This window comes from Homo sapiens, chromosome 7, assembly GCF_000001405.40.
Source record: "Homo sapiens chromosome 7, GRCh38.p14 Primary Assembly".
Lineage (NCBI taxonomy): Eukaryota > Metazoa > Chordata > Mammalia > Primates > Hominidae > Homo > Homo sapiens.
Window position 1 is genome coordinate 31,532,903 of NC_000007.14, and position 27,043 is coordinate 31,559,945.

General features: G+C 36.7%; 1 protein-coding gene across 8 annotated transcripts in view; it reads left to right on the forward strand.

Annotated features, from left to right (window-relative positions):
• The window catches only part of ITPRID1 (ITPR interacting domain containing 1), a 144,631-nt gene that overhangs the window by 18,813 nt on the left and 98,775 nt on the right, over positions 1 to 27,043 (forward strand). For 3 of the 8 annotated variants that reach the window (XM_011515213.3, XM_017011872.3, NM_001257968.3), the window contains exons 2-4: positions 20,100 to 20,285; positions 21,573 to 21,621; positions 21,956 to 21,999. In XM_011515213.3, coding sequence (XP_011513515.1) covers positions 20,123 to 20,285; positions 21,573 to 21,621; positions 21,956 to 21,999 — 256 coding nt within the window. In that variant the 5' untranslated portion in view covers positions 20,100 to 20,122. Of the gene's footprint in view, positions 1 to 12,093; positions 12,106 to 16,523; positions 16,598 to 20,099; positions 20,286 to 20,305; positions 21,171 to 21,572; positions 21,622 to 21,955; positions 22,000 to 27,043 lie in introns of those variants that run through there. The other 5 variants (NR_047565.3, XM_017011871.3, NM_001257967.3 and 2 more) reach the window with 4 other exon arrangements.

Below are 27,043 nucleotides of genomic sequence, written 5' to 3' on the forward strand. Positions count from 1 at the left end.
GGCTGGATTTATTTGCTAATATTTTGTTAAAGCTTTTTGTATCTATGTTTATTAAGAATACTGGTCTATAATTTGTTTTCTTGAAATGCCTTTATCAGGTTTGGGTATCAGTGTTATACAAGGAATTGAAAATATTTTTTTTCTTTTTTTATGTTCAGAAAAAAATTGTGTCACATTGGTGTTATTTCTTCTCTAAATGGTTGGTAAAATTCTTCAGTAAAGACATCTGTACCCAGGGTTTCCCCGTGAGAAGGATTTTAATTACAAATTCAATTTCTTCAATGCATATGAAGCTCTTAAAAAATCTTTTTTTCCCTCAGTTTCTTAGTTTTAGTCAGTTGAGTTTTCCAAAAAAAATTGTCAGTTTATCTCTTTGTCAAATGTATTGTCATGAAGTTTCTTGATAACATATGTTTACATTGTTAACACCCACAGAATCTGCTGTGGTATCTTCCTGCTCTTTTTATCAATTGATAAAAAATCAATTTTTATCAATTGTTTGAAACTTTTAAAGAAACAACAGTTGACTTTTAAAATTATCTTTGTTATCTGTTTTGTATTTTATTGATCTTTACACTTTTTAAATTATTTCCTTTTTCCACTTACTTTGAATTTAATTTTTCTTCTTTCCCTGTCTTCCTAAAGTAGATTCATGAGTCATTTATTTTCTAAATTTCTTATGTTCCAATATATGCATTTTAAACTGCACTTTCCTCTAATTACTTCCTCTGCATCCTACACATTTTGATATGTTATATTTCCTTTATCTTTTAGTTCAAATATTTTATGATTTTTATTGTGATTTCTTCTTTGACCCATTGGTCATTTAAAGCATTATGGTTTAATTTCCAAATATTTGAGCATTTTTTAGGTACATTAAGTGTTCCTAATTTAATGTATCTGAATACATGATCTGTATAATTTTCATCTTTTTAAATTTATTAATATGTGTCTTATGGCCCAGTAGATGGTCTAGGTCAGGGGTCCCCAACCCCAGGCTGTGGACTAGTATTAGTCCCTGGCCTGCTACAAACCAGGCGACCCAGCAGAAGGTGAGTGGCAGGTGAGCAAGCATTATTGCCTGGGCTCTGCCTCCTGTCAGATCAGCCATGGTATTAGATCCTCACAGAAGTGTGAACCCTATTGCAAACTGCACATGCGAGGGATCTAGGTTGTGTGCTCCCTGTGAAACTCTAATGCCTGATAATCTGAGGTGGAACAATTTCATTCTTAAACCATTCCCTGCCACCTCCACAACCCTCCTTCCAGTGGAAAAACTGTTTTCCACCAAACCAGTCCCTGGTGCCAAAAAGGTTGAGGACTGCTGGTCTAGGTGAATGTCCCATGTGCATTTGGGAAGAATTTGTATTTTGCTGGGTGGAGTGTTTGGTTAAAATGCCCATTAGGACAAATCTTTCATATTCTTTCTGAATATCTATCTACTTTTCATGTTTATCAGGAGAGATGTTAAATCTCCAGCTCTGAATTAGATTTGTCTATTTCTTTAGTCTTGCCAGTATTTGCTTCATGTCATTGGGAGCTGTTTTATTGTATTTTCATTTAAGATTGAGTCTTCTTGATTTGACCTTTTGTTATGATAACATTGCTTTTTTTACTCTGCTAATAGTTTTTGTCTTGAAACCTACTTTATCTTGTATTATTGTAGCTATATCAGCTTTCTCATGCTTGGTGTTTGGATGTTAAATGTTTTTCTGTCCTTTTACTTTCAACGTCTCTCTGTGTCTGTCTATTTACAGTTCATTGCTATAAGCAACATATAATTTGATTTTTTTTCTATCCAGTTGACCATTTCTGTCTTGTAGTTAGGTGTTTTTTCCATGTACATTTAATGTAATTATTGATGTGTTTTGTTAAAATACTACCCTATTGATATTTGTTTTCTATTTGTCCATCTATTGTTTATTTGTGTTCCTCCTTTTCTGTTTTATTAGGGAGAGGTAGTTGAATTACATAATTTTAAATTACATTTTATCTTCGCTTTTTAAGATTTTTATTATGATTCTTTTAAATTTATTTTTATCTTATTTTTTAGTGTTTTCCTAGAATTACAGGGTCTAATAAAGTTTTCTACAATGATGGAAACATTCCAGTCTGCACTGTGCGATAGAGTAGCTCACTAGCCATATGTGCCTTAAGAGCACTTGAAATATGGCTAATGCAACCAAGGAACTGAATATTTAATTTTATTTAATATGAATTAATTTAAATGTAAATAGCCATATATGGGTAGTGGTTACCTTGTCACCAGCACAGTTCTAGAGACTATAATATTTGCCTAACTTATCAGAATCTATCATTAAAGTATATTGTACTATTTCACAATGTAAAAACTTTCTAATGGTATACTTCGAAATATCACTGTCTTAACTTTTGTGCTCTTGTTTTCATATATTTTGATTCTACGGATATATAAATCTCATAGTACCTTGCAAATATTAACCAATCCTTAGTCTTTGAGAGAAATATATATGTATTTTTATCTATCAATTAGATTACATGCAGATAGACTCAGTAGATATGTAATTAATAATTATATATGTATGTATACATATAGATGTATATATATTTGTATATATGTGTGTGTGGGTATATTCCTAAACATAACAGAAATAACTTTGAAGGTTTTTTAAATCAAATTTTTACTTCCTGTTAAGTCAGTTTTCTAACTCATATAATTTGTCTTCAACCCAAAGGTCTTTTAAAAGCACTTTCTTTTGTAATACGGTCTGCTGAAGATGGATTCTTTTAGCATTTTTTTAACATCTGAAATGCTTTGTTTATACTTTATTTTTGAAGAATATTTTAACTGGCTATAAAGCTATAGATTCACATTGATTTTCAGTTGTTTGTTTTGATTTTAGAAGGGTAAATGTGTTTGTCTTTCAATTATCTCTGGCCTTTTTTTGCTCCTGATAAGAGATCAAGGATCATTCTTATTTGTTGTTCCTCTCTGTGTAGTGTGTCTTTGTCTTCTAGATACTTTTAAGATTTTTCTATTTATCTTCCATTTTCAGAAGTTTGACTATGGTGTGACTCAGTGTAGTGTTCTTGCTTGGGATTTACTGAGCATCCTGGATCTGTAGTTTAATATATTTCTTCAGTTTAGGAAAATATCAGGCTATTATGATTTGAAATATTTATTCACTATTCTGTCTCTATTCTCCTTCTGGGGCTTCAAAAATACGGACGATCACTTGGTATTTTCCTATAGATCTTGGATGTTAGGTTCCATTTTGAAAATTTTTTTTCTTTATAGTTCTGTTTTGATGATATCTACTGACTTATCTTCAAGCTCAGTTATTTTATCCTCTGCTGTGTCCAGTCTGCTGCTATACTCATCACAATAATTCTTCATTTCTAGTACCACATTATTTTTCATGTCTTGCATTCTTTTTGTGTTTTTTCCAACATTTTTCAATTTCCTGTTGGAAGTCTCCTCTATTCACATATTTTCCATGTTTTCAGCTAGATTCATTAGCTTATTTATTATACTTATTTTAAAGTCCCTGTCTGATAATTTCACCACCTGGTCTATCTCTGGGTCTGGTTGTATTTACCATTTCCTGTCTTAATGATGGGTCTCATTTTCATCTCTCTTTCTGTTTCCTATAATTTCTTATTAAATGCTAAATGTTATATATAAACCAAAAAAGATAAAAAACTGAAGTAAATATTTTTATGATCTTCAACAGGAACATCCTTTTTTTCTATCAAGCCACTTGTATAGAGCACTGAATCAATCTAGTCTGTAGTCTTGCTGGGTCTTGGATTTGCTGTCACTTTAGTTAGTTTTAGTTCATCACTGGGTTGAACTAACAGAAAGATAGAATCAGAACCTTCCCTTTATCAGGGGCTGGGATTTTTGAGTTTATATAAGGCTTGTCTCAGTTCTGCCTTCAGTCTTAAGCAGGCCTCATTCACCTGCACCTTACAAGTCATTTCTCTTAGCTCTTCTCCTCCTCACTTAGCCATAAGTAGCTGCTGCCTCTTATTCAGAGTAAGTCTTGGAAAGCTTAGAGGAGTTTCTTTTAGTTATTCTGCTCCATTATGAGACTTTCAGCAGATTTTGCATGCCTGAGCTTAAGTGAAAATTTCACTTAGCTATCCTGCTCCCCTCTAGCCATAGCCTGCTGTTGCTTCCTATTTATTGTATGCCTAGAAGGTGTGTGTGTTGTGTGTGTGTGTGTGTGTGTGTGTGTGTGTGTGTGTGTTTCCCCTTCCAAAGACACTGCCTGTTGAAGAGGAACTGGTCTCTTTACTGTCCTACTTTGCTCCCAATCTTCCTGGTGAATACTCACATAAAGGTCATAGAAGAGAGATTGTGAGTGGCCCACAGTTTCACCTGAGACCCATAGGGGTTCTAAAGTATTAGACACCCCACAATTGGTGTTTAAAAATCTGTTGAAAATTATATCATTTTATCTTACCCATGGAGTTTTTCTCCTCCTTTTACTGCTTCACAAATATGAAAACAGACATGGGTCTTTTCTCTGCTACAAGAGACTTGCCATTTTCTAGGTATTAATTTGTTAGTTTTTTCCCCCCAATTTTAACAAAAATCTATGATTTTTTTAAAAGTTAGCTGGATTTTCTGTTGTTAGGTTGGAAGTAACATTCTTTTGTGACTTCCCACATTCTAAATAAAATTATACATTTGACATTTTATTTTATGACACATTATATTTAGAGACTGTTACCTGCTTTTTATGCTATATTTTAATGTTTTTCACTGTTCTTATTCCATTGATTTTTAAAATAAAAATGACATTATTTATTTCTTCATAATAAAAATAATTCATGGCTGTTAAAAAACATTCAGACAAATCTGAATTCACAAAATAAGAATGCAAGTCACCTGACCTACCATTCAGAAATAACCATATTTAGCATTTTGGATTAGTATCTTCCTAATATAAATATTGATTGATTTCTTCTCCCCCCAAAATAAGATCATAGTATACATATTTTTCTGTGACATTTTTTCTGTAACAAAATATTCCAGACATCTGGGACAAATCAAGAACCATACATTGTCACTATTATTTTCAATGGATGCACAGTATTCCATCAGGTAAAAATCTATAACTTATGTAATAGCAATTCATTATTGATGGCCATGTAGGTCTTTTTCTAAACTTTTGCTCTAACAGCGAAGACTGGACTGATCTTCAGAAATATTTATGACTATTTCCTTTGAAAAAATATTTGAAGTAAAATTATTGGACATAAGGCTATACAATAAAAAGGACTCTCATGTACTCTTCCCATTCTTTAATTGTACATTTTACTTCCCCTGCTTTATTATTGTCTGTCTCTACACACACACACACGTGCGCATGCACACACACACACACTATGTATGTAGTGTCTTTCGAGAGTAAATTGCAGATATAATGCTCTTTTTCCCCTAAATACTTCAGTGTTTATTTTCTCAAACCACAGGCCAGTTTTTTACATAATGATAGTATAATTATCAAAATAATAAAATGTGCATTGACACAATACTATTATCTGATCTACAGACCATATTCATAATTGGCCTTTGTCCCAATAAAGTCCTTAAAGCAAACATAAAATTATGGCCCAGGGTCTAATCTAGTTGTCATATCATTTCAGGGTTTTAAAATTCTTCAATCTTTCTTTGTCTTTCATGACATTAACAAATTTAAAATACAACAGGCTAGTTATTTTATAAAATGTCCCTCAATTTGGATTTATTAGATATTTTTCATAATTACATTTCATTTATTAAAACATGGAAATAGCACAGAAATAACCACTGTCTTTCTGAGTGTGTCATATCAGGAGGAATATGATGTTGTTATATCCCATTACCTGAGATGTGAATATTGATCACTTGGTTAAGGAAGCATCGGCTAAATTTCTCCACTGCAAAGTTATTGTTTTTCCTTTTGTATTTCTTGAAGAAACATTTTGAGGCTATCTTGATATCCTATTCCTCATTGGACTTTCACCCCGTAAGTTTTGCACCCAATTACGGTGGTTCCTGAAATTATTTACTACTATGATGCAGTTAAGTTGATAATTCTGTAACTCCGTCATTCTTTTTACCATTATTTGTGTCATGACAGCTCATTTCTTTGTCACATTGAGTAATATCCCATTATTTGGATGTACCAGTTTATGTATCCATTCACCTACTGAAGGACATCTTGGTTGCTTCCAAGTTTTGACAGTTATTAACAAAACTGCTATAAACATCAATGTGCAATTGTATGTGTGAACATAAGTTTTTTTGTTTTTGTTTTTGTTTATTTTGATACGGGGTCTTGCTCTGTTGCCCAGGCTGGAGTGCAGTGGTGCCATCTTGGCTCACTGCAGCCTCAACCTTCCAGGCTCAAGTGATCCTCCCACCACAGCCCCCCAAGTAGCTGGGACTACAGGCATGCACCACCACACCTGGCTAATTTTTGTATTTTTTGTAGAGATGAGGTTTCACCATGTTGCCCATGCTTGTCTTGAACTCCTAAGCTCAGGCAATCTATTGATCCTCCCACAGTGCTGGCATTACAGATGTGAGGCACTGCACTTGACAGGGCATAAATTTTCAACTCCTCTGGGTAAATACCAAAGAGCACAACTGATAGATCATACGTTAAAGGTGTGCTTAGTTTCATAAGAAACCACCAAACTGTCTTCCAAAGTGCCTGTACTGTAAGAGTTAAAGAAAGTGGAGAGAAGCATGAAAAACAGTTCAACAGTCAAAGACAGGTTTGTTTTTTTTGGAGATAAACCTGAGAGGGGCTTCTGGCTGATTTTGGTCAGGTGCACTTTCTCTTACAGACTAAGGTTATTTAAGGGTTCAGGATGAGACAGCTTAATCACAGGCTCAGAATGTTTCTGTGTGGGGGAGAAGTTTATTGAAGCACTGGAATGTCTCTGGTTGAAGGGGAGGTTATCTTGGGGCTGATATCTCTCTGGCTGGTGGGCAAGTTATCTCGGGGTGGCATGTATCTGATCGGGGAGGGGTTTGGAATGTTTCTGGTCGGAGATGTTATTTATGGTTTATGGTCATGCTGACCTTAGCCATTAGGCTGATGCCCTTTGGATTTAGGCAGTTTTTTATCGAGGTGAACTTAAAATGGCAGTGCTTGTTCAAATGGTGATGCTCCTGCTCTGTCAATCCAGACCCCGTAGTTATAAAAAGGACGAGCAGTGGTGTGTTCTTTCTAGCTACTTCCTGCTGATGAGGGGATGGAGAGTTTTCTGGTCTCAGATTGACTGTAGGAGTAACACCGTCTGTAGATGTTGTTGGGTAGTTGTCTGTGAAATGGCCATGATCCCTGGGTTCCATGGACTCACTAGACGTGGGGGTGAAGGGTTCCAGGCACCCTCAGTTATTAGTTGTCAGTGCCAGCAGTGAAGAGATTTCCTCCTGTAATACTGGTGGGGCTTAGAGGCAGCGCCTGCTGAAACATCTAGTTTTCAGTTCATAGGGCTTCAGGACACAGCTTATTTTGGAAACTTGTAGCCAGAAAAATTAGAATTTAATTTAAGCTGTAAAAAATAATAAAAATTAAAAACATGAGTCAAGACTAGAATTTAACAACAGGTGTGCTATAGTTTTTGAAACACAATTTTCTCTCTCCAGTTTCCCATTTTTATTAAAAGACAAATCATGGTAGGACTGGTTTGCTTTATTATACTTGGCTTAATTATTTGCATGCAGTGCAGCAAGAATAATTATTTGTTACATAGTCCTTTTAAACTGGCTTTGATGGAACTTTGTTCCAGAGAAGGAATCTGAGATAAGACCTTTTTAAAGCCAAGCCCAGCCATGGATTTGTACCATCAAATACCTATAAGTTGGGTGAATTCCTCTCCTCTTGAGGTTCCAAGATAACTTTGGGTTCCCGGCCTGTCAGAAAGTGACATTATTTACTTACCACTGATCAGAAACCCTCTACAGGGACTGTGTACACAAAATATAAGGCCGGTTTTCCAAGGGCTTTATTGCCTTCATAAGTGAAGTTTGATTCCTTAAAGGAAAGCACACCATTCCAGTCAAAGCCTTGGTAAAAATAACCAGTTTTTCCAGTTGTGCCCTGTTACGAAAGAAAACAGATTTTTACTGCATTATGCAAATAACTATTGTCATAACTTAAGAATACTCACAGATAGTTTCCAAATTCTGGAGAAAATCAGGTAAAGAGAAACAAGTATGCTCCAAATTTTGTTCATGGGAGTATACTAAATTGCTAAAAGCTGTCAATAACTCAAAAGTTTATTTGACTTTGAAAAGCAAAACAAAGGATTAGTAATATTTTAAGCAAAATGTCAGAAAGATCACTCCAGTCTCCTATTAGTTCAGTTTATGCAGTTGATTCCTGTCCTGCATAATATTAATGAACATTCTAGCTCTTCAATAGTCCTGAATGTTTGTCCTCTATGCTGATGTCACAATCTCCAAAGTTATCAGAAACCTGCATTCAAGAGCACCTATTAGAGCTTTATAGCTGATTTTAAAACCACTTTCTAAAGAGGACCAAAACAAGACAACAATTGTTTATGGATGACAAAAAGTTTTAGGGTAGCCATAGTTAAAATTACGAGGATATCTGGTACCTTTGCGGCACACAACAATTTTAACATAACAATTATAATTATTACTGATAACATACACTAAGATATATCAGAATTATAGGAGTCTCCCATACTTTGGAGCACATACCAATAACATATTTATACAAATATAACCCAAAGAAAGCCAAATACCATTTTATATGTGACAATGCTTCCTGTATGATTATATAACAAGCCAAATTTTACCTTTATATTAGTGTGCTGTTAATGTTAAACTCAATTTTTAATAAAACCTTGTAGACATGTTTACCCAATTTTAATGTTTGACCATATGGTAAGATTTTTATAGACCCTTTTTAACCCTTTATAATTTTTGTTAAAGAGCAGGTTAGTGCTTTAAGAGAAACCCATTGTGCTTCTATTTTAATGCTCAATTTCCAGAAAAATTGGATGATACCCCTTTAGCTTTAGCCAAAATGTTTACACACAGAATTTCCTTTACAATTAACCTTCCAAAACTTGCTTAAACCTTCATTTTTATTTTATTCAACTTAAAACAATTCTTTAGCCTTTTAATGTAGGTAAAAATCCACATTCTCATGCCTCCTTATAATCTTCTTACCAAAAGTATGTGTAAATTGTTTTTTCAATAGTCTTAAATACATGTTACACTATTAACTTTTAGCAACCTTTACTTTTGCTGGTGAGCTTGCGATTTGAATTATGTACTAGTTATAGAGCCTAGGACCTAGACAGAAGTGCAGATAAGGTCTGACTGATTCTAGCATTTCATTCCATGTGTCCTAGGTCTTACCTAGCTGCAAAGCTCGCAAGTTGTGCAGCGAAGAGTCAGCATTTAGGAGGCTAAACCACTTTTAAATTGTACAACATTTCTTGCATAAATTCCCTTTTATACATTTTTTTACGACTTACACAATCTCTGAGATGACTCAAATTTCTTACTTGTAAACACCCCTTTCTTTAAACAACCAATTAATTTACTTTAGGACAAGAATTTGCCATCTAAGATTCTTTTTATATAAATTCTCTTTTCTTTAATATCAAAGAACTGTTATTCTTTCCCAAAACAAACTTCCTTTATGTCTGTGGACTAGACTGCCTAAGGCTACAAGATTAGAAGTTAGGATATTTTACTAAATAGTTCAAGATGTAGCTATCTTCATTAAACCAATATTAACGTTTCATTTATTAAAAAATTACACAAGCAAAGATTATTCTGTTTGGGGCTGAGTTACAGTTTTGTAGCCTCTATGCCAAATTTTGACACCTTATAGTATTTGACAGAGATAAGTATGGAATTGCTTGATTAGTATATGCAAACAAAAATGTATGCTGACAACTCTTAAGACATTTCTAATCTTACTGTACCAGTAAGTTTTAAAGATTAAGGTCATGTGGACTGAAAGGTCCCACAGCTTTTACTTTTTCCTTAAAAATATTTGATTTAAGCACTTATTTTTCTTAGGCCAATTAATTAGAGCTTTTTAAATACAGATTGCACACATAACACATATATAGCCACACAGACAACCAGAAAAATATCCAGTAGTTATGTTTTTGTTGTTGTTTGTTTGTTTGTTTTGCTAATTTCCCAACTGGGTTATTGGCCTTTGGGTGAGGCCTTTTAAGAATGGGGCTAGGAAAACAATTTCCAGGGCCTAGGAAACAAGCATAGCTGGAAGACAAAGACAGATTTTGAGAGGTAATTATTCACCTTTAATTCCAGGGGTTCCATAAGGAAAACAGAGATTTTTCCCAAAACAGGATTTGTGGTGTCTTTTCTGTTTTCCCAAGGAGTCCCAGGCCACCAGAAGTACATGCACTAAAAGTGGCAAGACAGAGTGAAGAAAAGTAATTCAGTCGGCTGGGAAAAAACCTTTTCCAGGAAAACAAGATTTATGAAGAGGAAAACATAAGGCCTTTTGAATATACTCATAGCTTGCTTATGAGTATATTCATAAATCAGTGTTCTGGATTTTTACCATTCTAATAGGTGTTTACTAGTGTCTCATTGTTGTTTAAATTTTCATTTTTCTGATGATAAATTGAGCGTCTTCATATGCGTATTTTCCATTTGTGTATCTTCTTTGGTGAGATATCTCTTATCTTTTTCTGGTTAGACTGTTTCATTACTGTTGAGTTTTAAGAGTTCTGTGGATATTTTAGTTTATAGTTCTCTTTATCAGACAATTTTTTTCCAAATGTTTTCTCCCACTCTTTGGCTTGTCTTTTCATTTTCTCTTGACACTATATTTTACAAAGCAGAAAGTTTTAATTTTCATGGAGATCATCGTATCACTTTTTTACTTCATGGATTGTTCCTTTGGTGTCATATCTAAATATTCATCACCAAATCCAAGGGCATCTAGATTTTCTCCTGTGTTATCTTCTTTCAGTTTTATAGTTTTGCATTGTACATTTAGGTCTATAATCAATTTTGAGGTAGTTTTTGATCTAGATTAGTTTTTTGCATGTGATGTCCAACTTTTCTAGCATCACTTGTTAAAGAGATGATCTTTTCTCCATTGTATTGCCTTTGCTTCTTTGTCAAAGACCAGCTGACTATTTTTATGTCTATTTCTGGGCTCTCTATTGTGTTCTATTGTTCTATTTTATTTTCAGCACAATGTTGAAAAGGAATGGTAAGAGGGAGCATTCCTCCCTTGTTCTTTATCTTAGTGGGACAGCTTCAAGTTTTCACCATTAAGTATGATGTTGGCTACTGATTTTTTGTAGATATTTTTTATCAAGTTGAAGATTCCTAGTTGACCAGTTATTTTTAAAGATAATAGAAAAGGTACATGGAAGGCAGGTGTGATAGAGCCCAGCTACAATTTTCCTTAAAAGAAATAACCATCACAGAAGATGACCTGTTATTTTGTTAAACTAATATTAAAGAACATACGTTTAATTATCACAAAGCCACTGCTTAGCAGCTCTTTGGTGAAATTTATGCTGTAAAGGTTCACATGTATTTCAGTCTTCTTGTCTGAAAAGTTTGCCTATTCATCCATTATCCCATCTTCAAGGACCAGAACCAAGGATTCCTCTTCCAAGAAGCTTTTTTTATACCCCCCTCAAATAAACAACGTTCTCCTTTAATATTTGAGAACAATTCTTTGTACCTTTCTTAAGATGCATATTACATTCTGCCTCATAACATAGTTTGTAAGAACTATTGCTTGTAATTAAATGTAATCTCCTCCAAAGATTGTTTGTACACAGTAGACACTCATATATTTAATTGAATTAGTAGATATCATTGAATCTATTGATTTAATAGCTCATTTATACAATGTACTTTTATAAGCAACTTCTAGAGCATGATACTGTGCCTGACATGATAGAGACTACAAAAAAAAGTAAGTCATAATTCCCAGGTACTGAGAACAGAGTCCAGAGTTAGAAGCAATCATTCATTCATTAAAGAGTTATTGCTAATCATCCACTGTTATCTATATCTTGAACTAAGTACCACAAATACTGAGATGAATAAGTCATGGTCATTGCCTTCCAGGAGTTCATTTAGTTGGTGGGAAAGGCAGAGATGAAAATAAGCCTCTCAACTTGCATGTGAAGAGGCTACAGTAAGGGGCTACACAGGTTGCTGTGAGTGTCAGAAGTAGGTTAGAGTCAGGGGTGAAGAGTGAGAAAGAAGTTTCTATAGAATAAGTTCTATTTGAGTTTAATGAAACAGTGTCTAGTGAAGACAAGGCCACTGCTTATAGAAAGATCTGCATTTAGTGGGGTCAAGATGATGATGCATCTTGGAACAAGTAGTTCTGTGCATCCAGAATATGGTGTCCATGAAAGAACTTGGATTGCAGTGATGTTGGAATAGGAGATGAGAGGTGGATCACAGATGCCCTCTCACCTTTCACTCCCCCTCCTCAAGATGAAGCAAAGCAAATGTTGAGAAGGCAAGAGGAGAAATGTTGGATAAAGAGGGAAATCATGGAGGAAAAAAAAATCTCTTTAAAGTTGGAAAGGGACTGAAACAGGGCTAGCAGTAGATGAATCAGTTTATCCAACTTTATCAGCCTTGAAGTCATTTCAAGTTTCCAGGAAGCAGTATATATAGTCTTTGAATTAATAGTCTTTTCCTTATTTTCACCAGTAAAAGATGAATACTCCAACTCCAGGAAGACTGATTTTGGGTTCCAGCTTGGGCACAACTGCCTTGTCTTTATATCCAGCCTGCTCCTAAATGGCAGGAGTGAGCACCCTTCACATATTTTGTGGTGGGAGGAAGCCACCCACGGAACAAGTCATCACAGACTGCTTGTTCCTCCTAGCAGAGTGTTGACAGAACACTCTATTCCCCAGGATATGCCTCTACTTCACTGAATCATTTGGAAATCTTTACAAGTGTTTGTGGGACTTTAATACTTGGATAGGGAGGGAGAGCAGAAGGACATTCCTGGCTTGATTTTGTTGCTTCAGTTTTTGAGTGATCTTCCAAACCTTTGAGTAATAGGAGTATTTTATTATTATTATTTTTATTATTTTGATGACTACAACTTTAAAATGTCTTATAATGTGAACTCCGTTGGACAAACATTAAACAGTCTATGTGGAGGCTAGAAAAAGAATAATAAACTTATGGAATTATCTCATTTTGTCTAATTCTCTCATATTATGCAAAAAGAAATTACATTCCAAAAGAACTTGAAACTGCATGCCCAATGTCATACAGCCAATTGATAACTATTTACTGATTAATTAAAAATAAATTACTTTTTTGTTTCCTTGGCAATGGATTAAGATTTTTCATCTGTTTGTTAGCTGTTGGGAGGCACATAAGAGAAGGTAAAAGAAGGTATTTACTCCAATAATTTTTGTAAAAATGACAAAATAAGCAGGCATCAAGTGATAACTCAGAAAATTTTGCTTCAAAACAGAGAAATATTGTGTGTGTGTGTGTGTGTGCGTGCGCATATAACTGTGTGTCTATGTCTGTGCATGCATGTGTCTGTGTGTGTATAATCTCCTAATTTTTCTAATTCAGATCTACAATGCTATATTTTCTGATGCTGTGTCCCTAATTCTGGTTAGTGTGCACTTTCTGATGAGTTGTCTAACTGCTAAATATCAAACAGTCCTTAACTATTTCATAACCAGATTGGCTTTGGTATTCCTCAATTCCTTGTTGGTATTCATTTAAATAGTCATTCATTCAACAAATACACATTGAGTACATTTTCCATGCAATTATGATATAAACGCTAAGATCTCTGTCCTGAAGAAAATCTCACGATGGTTAAACATAAGTGGAACACAGTGTAACAGACTTATAAAACAATGTGAAAATACCTTAATAGTGATTTACACTGAACTATGGGATTACAAAGGGGCCTTTAAAGCCACACTCATATAGGGAGGCATGTAGACAGAAAAGATAAAGGGGTTAGGATTGAGGTATAGATCACTCAAAATTTAGAGATTGGAAAGAAGAAAATCAGCAAAAAAGCTTGAGGAAAAAAGCTTTGAGGTAGGAGAAAATCTTAGAGAGGCTTATATTTAAAACCAAGTTAAATGATTATTTTCATTAAGATGATGTGGTGAACGACATCAAATGCTGCCAAAAATTCTGAAATGATAAGAAGTGAAAGTTGACCACCAGCATACTGACTCAAGTGGGTTATAAAGAGAAGGGAAGGTGTGGACAGTACTGCAGATGAAAGCATTTTGCTGTGATATGTGTGAAACTGCGAGTTCTGGCTGATATTAGGTTGATAGCATTGGAGATGGTTGGTCTGAGATATATTTTAATGGCTCCCGTATTAGTGAGTTCTCACACTGCTATGAAGAAATACTCGAGACTGGGTAATTTATAAAGGAAAGAGGTTTAATTGACTCACAGTTCCACAGGGCTGGGGAGGCCTCAGGAAACTTACAGTCATGGTGGAATGGGAAGGAAACACGTCCTTCTTCCCATGGTGGCAGCAAGGAGAAGTGCAGAGCAAAGTGGGGGAAAGCCCCCTAAAAAGCCAACAGATCTCATGAGAACTCACTCACTATCACAAGAACAGCATGGAGGTAACTGCCTCCATGATCCAATAACCTCCTACCGGGTCCTTCCCTCGATATGGGGACTATAGGAACTACAATTGAAGATGAGATTGAGGTGAGGACACAGCCAAACCATAGCAGCTCCTTCTTTTTTTTAGTGCTTTAATGTGGGAATGAAAGGAATAGAGGAATCAGAGAAGACTCATAAGTCCTTGGCATAAGCAACTGCCTGAATAGTGGCCCTGTTTACTGAGATGAAGCACACTAGAATAAAAGCAGGTATATGGGAGGGTAAAGAAGTCCAGGCAAGAATAAAGAATTCAGTGTGGCACAAAATGTGTATAGACATTCAAGTGGAAATGTTAAGTAAGTGGGAATACCCTGGTGTGAAGTAAACTCACAGGCTGGACCAGATTTGGAAATGAGAATTTGGGAATCATCATTGGTTTCATAAAAAACTAAGGTAGGAGTTGGAGAGGGATTCAAGGTGGTCACATGAAAGACAAATTTAAGATGGGTCACATTAGAGTGTATTGTAAACTAAAGGGAATAATCCAGTAAGGAGGACAAAAATGGTGCCCAAGCAAAATCTATGAGTAGAATAGAGGTGATGGGGGATGTTTGAAATTAGGATTTTGGAGAGTGTTCTCTTACAGTGAAGTACAACCATAGGAATCAAGCAGAGGGAAAGATTATGGAAAGTGAACAGGTCATTGAACTGAGTGGCCTGGTGTTGGCAAGCCATCTACATTGATAATGAAATCTTCCAGAAAGATGACAGAAATACCATACTAAAATTTTCAGTAAATGAAGGTGAATGCCCTGGATGTTGATGACTACATAGTCTGATGGCATATGCTTCAAAGGACAGAGGAAACAAGGTCTGGAAGCAGCAACAAAGATCATAGAGGAAATTTACACTATCTTGAAGACTATAGTACAGATTTTTAAGGAAGAAATGAAAGAGCCATAGCTTGAGGAACCATATCCCAGTTTCAGTTAGAGAAAGAAGATGAAGGGACATTCAGTGAAGAGGTTAGAATGAAGGGGTATTGGTAGGTGATAGGGCATGAGTTCTAGAGGGCACAAGTGTTGGGAGAGTCTCCAGGAAGGGTGGAAGATTGGGCCAGATGAAGTGATGTTCACTGCCACAAGAGCATGGCCCAACAGCATGATGTGATTGCTCCTGTGGTCATCCAGGGGAAGAAGGATGAGTTAGTTCTCTGAGAGTGCCAGCCTCTCAGGACTGGTCTCTTAGTTTGTGTAGGTAATATGAGTGGTACTGAGGTTTGTGGTAATCATTTTTTTGAGAATAGGAGGGGTTCTGGAGGCTTCCTTTATAAACTTCCATGAATGGCATCATGGTTGGGAAAGGGGCAGGTCTTAATGGAACACATGGATCTATGTAGACTTCTCTTCAATGCTGCTCTTGGGGAAGTCACCATATGAAGTAGGGAGGGGAACAAGGCAAGCCTGGACACTATTTGAGATCTTAGGAAGGCCCGAACTGAGGCTATGACAATGAGGATCCATGGATGAGATGTAGACAGGGTGTTAGAGATCCATTTGGATGCAGAATGCCTCGGGCTGTTCTCCCATTATGCAGTTCTCTTCTTGGCCACCGAGTTTAATCAGAAATGGTGGCCAAGGCTGGAGCTACAGGCTCTAATTATAACCTTAAAATTTAGTCTATAATTGAAGGAATCTCAAGACTCTGATAAGCACCTCTAACTCATCTCAGGGAAATCCATATTCTCATGGTCACAGAAATACTCTATTCTCACTCTCCCAAAAACATCTACTTCTCAATCATCCAAACTAAGTAATTTCAAGACAACACAGGCTACCCACAAACTAACAGGGTCAAGTTTATTTTCTGTGAGACAAATGATTGCATTGATTGGTGATTCTTCTTTACTTGACAGTTCCTGACAGGATAAGGACAAGAAGCAACACACAGAAGAGAAGGAAAAAGAAAGAAAACTGACCAATATGAGTGGTGATTGTTTTGGATATATTTTTCATTAAATTTTCCCAAAAACTCCATAAAGTGTTTATTTCATACTCATTATAGATATGAGGAAATAGATTATCAGAAAAGTTTGAAAATTTCCCCAAGATGTCAGAAAGCAGCAGAGCTGATATTAAAATCCAGAGTTATCTGACCTGAAAGCACTTGCTCTTTTAACCAGACAAGAACTAAGAAAGCTGACAAAGCCAACTGAATGCTCCTTTCCCAAGTAACCAAGCAATTACTAATAAAGATTAGTTACCTTGGGTCAAAGGTGCTGGGATCTATGGGGAACAGAGATTAAATAAAACACAGTCTGTATTCTCCTAGTATGAACAACCTGTTTGGCAAGAAAACCTGTTTGCATAAAGATACAAAAAGTGAAATAACTCAGAGGACAAGAATGTAATCATTGTCACTGCTTTAAGTGTCAAAGCACCAAGTTTTATGATTTCACTGTGGCTCTAAAGCTTCACAGTGAAAAGGAGCATGTATGGATGAATTTGCTCAAGTTAAGAAAATGTGAAGTAGAATTAATGTAACAGAGCCATTTTTTCTGATTTTGATTATTTTTAACATTTTTAAACCTTGATAACATTTTGGTACCTTTTTTTTTCCTTTTTCAAGGCATTTGTTTATTTAGTTTTTACAAAATTGAGTTCTTAGTGCATATACAGTTTTGCATCCTCTTTTTTTTTTTTTTTGGTTAAACGTGATACTATATGCAATTTCCCACATGAGTAGAAGTTTTGTATACACATGAGGATAAATGACAGCATAGTAATCAGAGTAGAAGGGATTTGAAGAGACAGAAGTTACTGGATTCCCCAGGCATGGAATGACATGATCCAGAATGAGGATTCCTCTTGGGGACAAGTCAAAGAATTAGCAAGAACTAGGTTCGAAATGGTCCTTGGGGCGGACAGACTAACTAGAGAAGTCTGCAGGCAGTCACATGCCATAACTTGTGCCCTGTCTATCCACTGAGCAATTCCAGGATACCACCTGATCTGTGTCCCTTTCCGAAGGGCTGCTCTGGGGGTCAAGTAAGTGAATGCCAAAGGAAGGCCATTCAAGCTTTAGAAAATCCATTTCCAGAAGCAGATTTGTTTACCAACTGGGAAGGCATCCACTAAAACAGGGGGAACAAAAGAGGTTTTCTTTATGAACTGGTCCCTGACCCTTGCTTTTAGCAAGGGTTCCCATTTTCTTTGGCAAGCCTTTTTCCTGCTCTGTGGCCAAGTACAACAGAGCTGGCAGACAGAATATCCTCACTGGTTGTGTAAGGCTGGAGGCTGAGGTCAAGTATGCCATTCATTATAAGATGGAAGTTTGGGGACGTACAAATAAAGCAGCACTTTTACCTAAAATTTTAACAATTTTCTCCAGGGTTACATTTGAAAAAGCAGTCACTAACTTAAAATTTGGCATTATGATACAGAAGCAGCAATTTGAATACTATCAGCTACCTGATAGCTTCTTGTTTCCTCCACAGTGCAAACTCTCCCATTCTAAATGAAACTCACTTTCAGCCAAAATCAGTGAAGGAGTGAGATTATTTTGGGGATCTTATTTTTCTGTGATATGTTATTCTTTTCTTCAAACCTTTTGATCCTTTATTGAATCTGGTATTTCATGAATGTTGTTGAGCATGGTTTTGGAGTTTTTCCTCCTTGTGAAATTTTGCACTGTCAGTGTCGATGCTGTTATTAGCATTCATGCTCACAAGATAAAGGCACTGCTGAAGAGTTATGTGTTTCCTTGAAAGACCCAAAACCTATGTGAAGCTAAATAACTAAAATTTCAGTGAGTTTTTAAAGGTTATTTTGTTTAATGTTATGAATTCTAGTATACCAAACAATTCTCCAAAGGTTAGGAACATAATTCAGTCTGCATTATTCTGTCTTGTGTTATTACTGAAATTTTTATAATTTGCTACCAGCAGATATTCCTAAAGTTAACTGGCTAAAATATTGACTGTTAATATAGATATAACTATTTTTTCCCTTAATTTTTAACTAATTGAAATGTCTTCATTTTTGTTTTTTAACATAAAATTGACAGCCATCATAATTATTGATTTTTGTAGTAATTTAAAATTGCAACAATAAATGTATATATTTATACCTGACAGAATTTGAATATATAAAGCACGTAAGAAAATTGTGCTGCCAGTTGCATCTAGAACGCTCACCTATTCTTGAAAGAAAATATTTACATTTGTAATAAATCTGAATGGTTTGCCTTTTGCAAACAGATTAGAAATGATTTACATGTCATGTGATCAGTGATTATGCATTAAGTTTAGGGATCCTAGAAATGCTACTGAAGTAAGTGTTTGGCTACTTGGCCATTTCTGTAAACTTGAAGGATAAACGAATGCAAATTAAAGCATATGTCATGGAAGTAATTGCATCAGAAAGTGTGGCTTGAAACCTCACTTTGCTATTTTAGTTTGGTATTTGTTGATTCACCACCTACTATGTGCCAAAAATCCAGTTAAATTCTAGAGATACATAAATGAGTAAGAGAATGGCCCTTGTTCTCATGGTGCTTATAGTCTGCGGAGACCGAACAATTTCTTTTGCTGCGCTAAGCTGCTGTGTCCTGCTCTTACTCTGCTAGTTTTACAGGTTGTTCATGAAGGTCAAGTTAAATAATGGGGGCAGCTGATACTTTTTGTGCAAGGTGTGTAATATATTCATAAATATTTTAATTGTCCCAGCCATCCTATAGGATATATAGCATAGTCATGGGAACATGCTTGAGGTCCAGTGCCTGGTTTTGAGTCCTGGCTGGCTGTTTGGCTTTGGACATGCAACTTAATCTCTCTGGTCTTCAATTTACCATAAAATTGTGACAATTATATTACTTCCTTCATTGACAATTAAGTTAAATAATGAATGTATAGAATTCAGCATAGAATCTAGCACATAATAAGTATTCCACTGAGGTTAACAGTTATTAAAATTCGGTAGAGTGTATCGCCAGTTTAGAAATAAGGGAATGCAGAAAGGTTCTACAGTTTATGTGAGGGCACACAACAAGTTGCAGAAATGAGACTGAGCCAAGCCAATCTGTTGCCAAAGCCCTCATTTTTCTCCAACATTTGGGCCTCAAAAATAATTTTATAGATATAACTGTTAGGTAAATTTGAAGGCTATTTACTGGGTGTGTCCTCAAGTCTAATTTCTTTGCTCTCCGTCCACATCCCAGACCACCAAAGTGAAAGTGCAGAGTGCGCATGTGGTCTGATGACTGGCATGGCCACTTGAGTCCCAGGCTGCTTTGCCTTGGAGAGGGAAGGAAGCATTTCACCAAACTGAGACAGGGAGCTTGGCTCAGGTGGGTGAGCCAGGTTCATGTATGACTGTGAAGCTGGATCATTCATCTGACTGTAGGCATTCTGGCCTTCTTTCTCCCTTTCACTGAGCCAAGCCCAGAAGCTGAACTCATCGTGTCTGATTTGTTTGTGTGTGTGTGTTTTAAGTTAGTTTGCAGAATTACTCTCCTATGATGGCACAGAAATCACAAGGATCTGACAACCTTCAGGAAGGCCAGGAAAAGAGCAAGAGAGAGATCCTGAAGTGCACCAAAAGCGCGTGGGCTCCGCTGGATGAGTGGCTGCCCCCTGACCCTGAGGAGGAAAGCCAGAGTCTCACCATCCCCATGCTGGGTGAGAAGGACTCTCAGGCCTATTTGAAAACATTCCTCTGTGAGTGGTGAGGGATGTGGGAGCTTTTGGCCAGGGGCAGGTGATTTTGGAACAAAAGTATTTGGCTTTGAATATACCAGTGTTCCTGGCATGATGCCGGAAACATTTATGAAATGGGCACTTCTGACTTCTGCTATAGACATCAGGACACAGACCTCCTTGAAAGAAGTAGACCAATTAATGAATGAACTCTGCTTCCTTTCCACTCCAAACATCCCTCATCCTAAGTTCCCAGGACTTTGAAGCTGTGTGGGGTCTGGGCATGAGGCTTCTTTCAGGTCATCAAACATTTTATTGAAAAACTCTGATTTGTTGGATCCTGCAGGAGGCATTGACAAAAATTTTAATCATTTAAAGAGTAATAAGTAAGAAAATACTTCCAGCACTCCCTGCCCCCATTATGTAACTGTTGAATGGTTTTTCTTCTTTGCCCATTGCCCAATTCCTTCTAACTTCACAGCAGTTCAACTGAAGAACAATACAGACCTCCTGTGTCCACCTGGCTTTTATGGTTCACCTGACACCTTGTGAGGGAGATAATTCAGGCACTTCACTATTTGATAGGATAAAGTCAAACAAAATTAGCCTAGAGTACACAGTTGCTAAGCAGAATGGAAACAAATATTTAACAGGAAATGCTGCTTTACATCCTCTCCTTTTTACCTGTTGACTATTTGTTGAGCCAATGATAAAGATCCACCTTAAAAGACTGGTGCCTTTTTAACACAGGGTGCCTTTGGCAATCCAGGGACTCTAGTGCAATTTGTCCCTGGAATGAATGCAAATTTGGTTTCTAACCTGGCAGAGAACTCCTTGCAAATAACCATCACTGGCTGGCTGCCTTAGGTAAATGTGATTCAATAAGGAGAGGCTTTGTGGTGATTTATATCCAACAAGAGAAAGACAAAAGTCTCTTATGCTTTCTCACCCTTTGTATTCACACCAGGTAATTTAAAAATTATTCTAACATCTCTCGTTCTTCAGTGGTTTATTTTTCTTCTCTCTCACATTTTCTTTCTTTTTTTTTAAGTTACAGTCTTTTGACAAGTTTACACTTCATTCTCAGGAAAGGCTGATCATGGAAAACAGGAGATTTTGCCTTCAGGAAAAAAAATGAATATGCTTATGGAAGGAAACATGTGACTAAATATGTGGGAAATAGTGACTGAGTGGCGGCTGAGTAAACAGGGTAGCATCCTTTTAGCTGGTTGTGCTTTGACTAACTGATCTGTTCTTTCTTACTTGTAGAAGATTCCAAGCAAGAAAGTATTCAGCAGTGGCTGGACTCTGGATTCTTGTAAGTGTTTTTGTGTGTGTGTGCCTTACATGTTTCTCTTGCAAAGATCCATGAAAACAATGTGTGTAACTCTGCCTGGGCAAGGTCGGGGAAGTGTAGGGATTTTCATTTTAATTGTACGTGAAGTATTATTCTATTATTGTAAAAACTATGTATCAGTTTAAAACTACAAAATAAAATACTACTCTAGTCCCTGACTGTTTATTGGTTTCTAAAAGTCCTCTCTTACTAAAACCTAACTCTGCATTTGCTCTCACCTGTTTAATTAAAAAGTAATTTAGTATAATTTATTTACACACATTGTTTGACTCACAATACTTTTGTTTCTTTACAGTGTCTCTGCAAATGAAAACTTTCAACAAGTCATTGACCGCACTGGTAAGACAAGAGAAGCAGTTATGCTTTGGGAAGCTGAGTAGGAGATATATTCAAATATCTACGTGAATAAATCTTCTTAAAATGAGCATTATCAGAGGCTTCTAGAAATGATCAGCCCTCAAAAACTATCCAGCTCAATCTCTTCATTTGACATATGACTGCGACAAAAATGATAGGTGCTTCCCCAGCAGCAGGTTAAGGGCCGAACCCAGGGCTCTTGCCATATCATCAATGGCTCAGAGTATAGCATAAACTCACTGGGTTCTATGAAGACATTTGCAAGGATGTAGTTATGAAAATGAAATTGTTTAATTTTCCCCATCCTGTATTATACTTTTATTTCTGAATCTAGATTTTTTCTATTCTTTGGTCTCAAAATTGCACTTACATTCTCTCTTTCTAATAATGCACTTGTTCTCAAGAAGAATAAATGTCTGAATTCTAAAGCAAACAGTACAAGTATTTCTGAAGGAGAAAATGTATCACACTTGTTTCACTGAGATTTGATAAAAGCAGTATAAAAAGAAAAAGAAATTTAATTACAGGACTCACAGTTTCCATCTTCATTAAATGCAATATCATATTTTATAGAATCTAAGACCCTTCAATTATAAAATGCATTCATATTTTAAGTACCATTTAGAAAAAAAAAACAAAACCTGGCAATTACAAACAGAAGGCAATATTGACTGTAATACGTATCTTGATTTCACAGGTGTTAAAATGTGAAAAAGTATGTTTCAAAATGGATGAAATATTGTGAAGAATTTGTGTGAAAAAATGACATAAATTAGGAACTTAATGGTTAGATGAAAAAATTATTAGTCTAATAGTCACTTACTTTGCTGGTTTTAATTATTTCACTTCCTCTACTGCCATCTTACATTAAGACTGACCGTTGGCTACAAATCAGTTTAAATTTTGAATTTTTTTACTACTTTTAAAAGAAAACCTATATGTATCATTGAAATTTCCCTTTTCACCAACCTTCTTTATTTTTTCTAATATAAAAGTTCCATGATGCCAAATACTGTAAAGATTTTTGCCAATAAATCAAATGTAAGTACCTCTCTGCTCATAATAATTCAGACTCAAGGAAAAGCAAAAACTTCAGAAAAATAGCCAGCATTTCATATCCCCCTAATGTTTTCTCTTGCCCCGGTTGTGGTGAGAGGCCTGGCACTGGTTCTGGAGTCATCAGTAACCATACTAAAAGCTTCACTTCCCAGAAATTAAAGACAAATCACAGCTCTTCCTCTTCTGAACCAAGTCAATGAACTGGAAAGGCACAGACATGAAGTAAAGACCTGGAGGAAAATTGGGATAGTGATATGGCTCCGAGATCAGAAACACAGTCTTGATTTGCCAGGTCCTTTATCTTCAGCAAGATTTTTAATAAAAATGGAATAGCTTCTTACACGTTTAACTGAGCCTTCGCTTGTACAAGGCCCTTTCTCATCGATCATATTTTAAACTCCATGGCCTGTGTGGTAGCATGGTTTGTTTCGTCTGTTTGTTGCAGATGAGGAATCTGGGGCACAGAGTGGTCAAGTGCCATGATTGTTGGTCACAGCTGGTTAGAGGCAGGTGGAGGAATGGAGGCCTGGCCTTCTATTAATATCAGCCCCACTGCATGCTGGCTTCAGCCATGATGAGAGAGCTGCACTGAGCTTGGGGGAGCTGAGAGACACATTGAGAATGGTGGATGCTAGAACAGTACCAGAAACTGGGGACCTGGAGGTCATGGCAAGGGTGACAGGGAGAAAAACTGTGGAGATGAAAAGGACCCAAAGAGGAGGAAGAAAAGAAGTCACTTTTGGAGGGAAAATCCTGTCAAAACTCATAAAATACTGATAAAATGTAGAGTGACGCATGAATTTCCTAGGGCAGCAGTAACAAATTATCACAAACTTGGTGGTTTTAAGCACCAAGTTCTGTTGTTTTAACAACAGAAATGTATTCTCTCACAGTTATGGAGTCTGGAAGCCCAAAATCAAGGTGTCACCAAGACTGATCTCCCTCTGAAGGTTCTAGGGAAGAATCCCTCCTGGTTTCTTTCTAGTTTCTGGTGGCTTTGGCAATCCTCAGTGTTCGTTGGCTTGCAGCTACATAACTCCTTTCTATGACTTCATCTCTACATGGCTTCTTCTCCTTGTGAGTCTTTTCCTCTTATAAAGACACCAGTCATTGGATTAAGGATCCTATGTAATCCAGTATGATCTCATCTTAACTAATTAACAATCCACAAAGACCCTATTTCCAAATAACAGCACATTCTGAGATTCCAGGTGGACATGAAATTCCAGGGGACTCTAGTCAACTAACTAGAATTCATTCTAAGGCTGGTTTCCTTATTAATCACTTCTGAGGCTTTGTACACTAAGGTAGCAGCAAGATCTAAGTGTCTTCATCTTACAGGTGACCCAGTGCTTCCCACAGAAAGCATTCTAGTGAGTCTTCAGCCTTTGGACTGGGCCCAAATAACATAGATAGTTGGGATAAGGCTTCAGTGGTCCTGTTCCTGGTTTCCTGTTGGGTTCTATGATGGCCAACATGAGGCTTGGCCTTTTATGATGACTCTCTGGCTGTCATGGTCATCTGCAGCTACCTAAAATCTCAAATCTCATTTTTATTAAGCGGGAATCTGGTTGGCCCATTTTGTACCTTGTTTACCACAATTAAGCCAGGTAAAGCCCTTGGCACTTCAGCCTCTTCATCAGTAGAACTTGGAGGGGAAGAAAATTAATGCATACTGAGGATGCACATGCTAGATACTATACATACATTATCTTGCTTACCAGACCACCTTTGAGGTAAATATTACGTGGAGGAAAATGAGGCTCAGAAAGGTAAAGTAACTTGACAAAAGCCACCCAGTTAGTAGGTATTGGAGTTGAGATTTTCAGCTTAGATCTGTCTGTCTGTATAGCCATGCTCTCCCTCTGGAAGACTAATAACATTTACTACACGTGTTATGCGTGGAAACCCCTGGAAGGAAAGCTCTGTGCTGTGGTTTCAATGTTCCCTCCAAAACTCATGTTGAAACTTAATCACCATAGTGACAGCATTGAAAAGTGGGACTTTTGATAGGTAATTAGGTCTTGAGGACTCTGCCTTTATGAATGGTTTAATGCCCTTATCCTGGAGTGAGTTATTTATCATGGGATTGGGTTAATTATCACGGGAGTGGGCTCCTGATAAAAGGATGGGTTTGGTCCCCATTTTCTCTCTCTCTTGTGTGCTTGCTTATCCTCTGCCTTCCACCATGGAATGACACAGCAAGAAGGCCCTCACCAGATGCAGCCACTTGATCTTGGACTTCCCAGCCTCCACAGTTGTGAGCCAAATAAACTTCTTTTCTTTATAAATTACTCAGTCTGCGGTATTGTGTTATAGCAGCAGAAAATAGGCTAAGATACCCCATCCACATCCCTGTTAGACAAGTCAAAGCATGGGCAATGTGGGTAAGTCACTGGCACTTCTCCCTCCAGGCCTTCTGACTCTTATGCATCAGCCCTTTGGGACCACAACACAGTCCTCTGGAGTTCAATTCTTTTGATGTGGTGCAATACTAACTTTTTTTTTATGTCAGTAAAGTGTCTATATTCATAGCTTTAAAAAGATACATAAAGTTGGTCAAAGGGTATAAACTTGCAGTTATAAGATGACTAGGTTCTAGAGACCTTAAGTACAGCATGGTGACTATATTAGTAATAATGTAGTTTGTACTTAAAATTGTCTGAAAGAGTAGATCTTGAGTATATTCTCACCTCAGAAAGAGGTATTTTTCACCCTCAATAAGAGATAGAGATGATTTGAATTCAAGTCTGTCTGATTTCAAAGTTCCTGCTCTTTTAACCAGAAACTAGCATACCGCCAATGACAGCACACTGGTGTAAATCAATTGTCATTAAGTTTATCTCTAACTTTTCTTTACTTCTGTGAGCCAATTTTGGGTGGCAGAAAAGAATGCTCTCTAAATTTAAGGTTTTAATGCCACTAAAATATAGAGGCACATAGAGTAGATTTTAATTCAAAGCAAAATTACTACTTAGAAACAGTTCTAATAGTAAGAAAGAAGTATAAAGCTATGCTGAAATTCACCTATAAATAACTCCTATAACTAAAATTTGCCTCAATTTTCACCAGTCTATAGGTACAAATTAGGTTACAATAACATTGGTACCTAAATTTTGCTGGATTATTGCCCTCTTCTTGGTGACACAAGAAATATCTCCCCCTAAGTATTTCTGGGAGTTATTAGCTATCTCAAATATTTTCATAAATGAGCTCCCTTCCACTGCCCCTGCTACTACTCCAATAGAATCCTCTTGGTATCACCACATAGACAAGTCATTTCAATACTTTCTGAGCATCATGTTCTTCTTCTGCTCCTCTGGGAACCACCATCATTGCCTTTGAGCTTTTATGGTGCTCTACTTATTGCAGAATTTGTATAGAAACACTCATATTCCATGGCCAGACACAGTTGCCCACACCTGTAATCCCAGCACTTTGGGAAGTCAAGGTGGGCAGATCACTTGAGGCCAGGAGTTCAAGATCAGCCTGGCCAACATGGCAAAATCCTGTCTCTACTAAAAATACAAAAAAAAATTAGCCTGATATGGTGGTGCACACCCGTAGTCCCAGCTACTCAGGAGGCTGAGGCAGGAGAATTGCTTGAACCCTGGAGGTGGAGGTTGCAGTGAGCAGAGATCATGCCACTGCACTCCAGCCTGGGTGACAGAGTGAGACTCTGTCTCAGAAAAAAAAGAAACACTGATGTCCATTATACTACATGACTATCATCTGGAGATTTAGGCAGCATTACTAGTATTTTATGTCACATAAAACCCATGATGAAAGTAATTTTTCAGCTTCTTCCTGCAGCCCATATCTCCCCTTGAGCCTTAGACTTAGGCTGGAGACTGAAGACTGAAGAACAAACATGACATCAGCTCTATTTCCTTGCCCACAGGAACACGAAGTTTCTGACAGATTCCCTTTTATTCCTGTCTTCAGTATTTAGCAAATATGTGTTGAT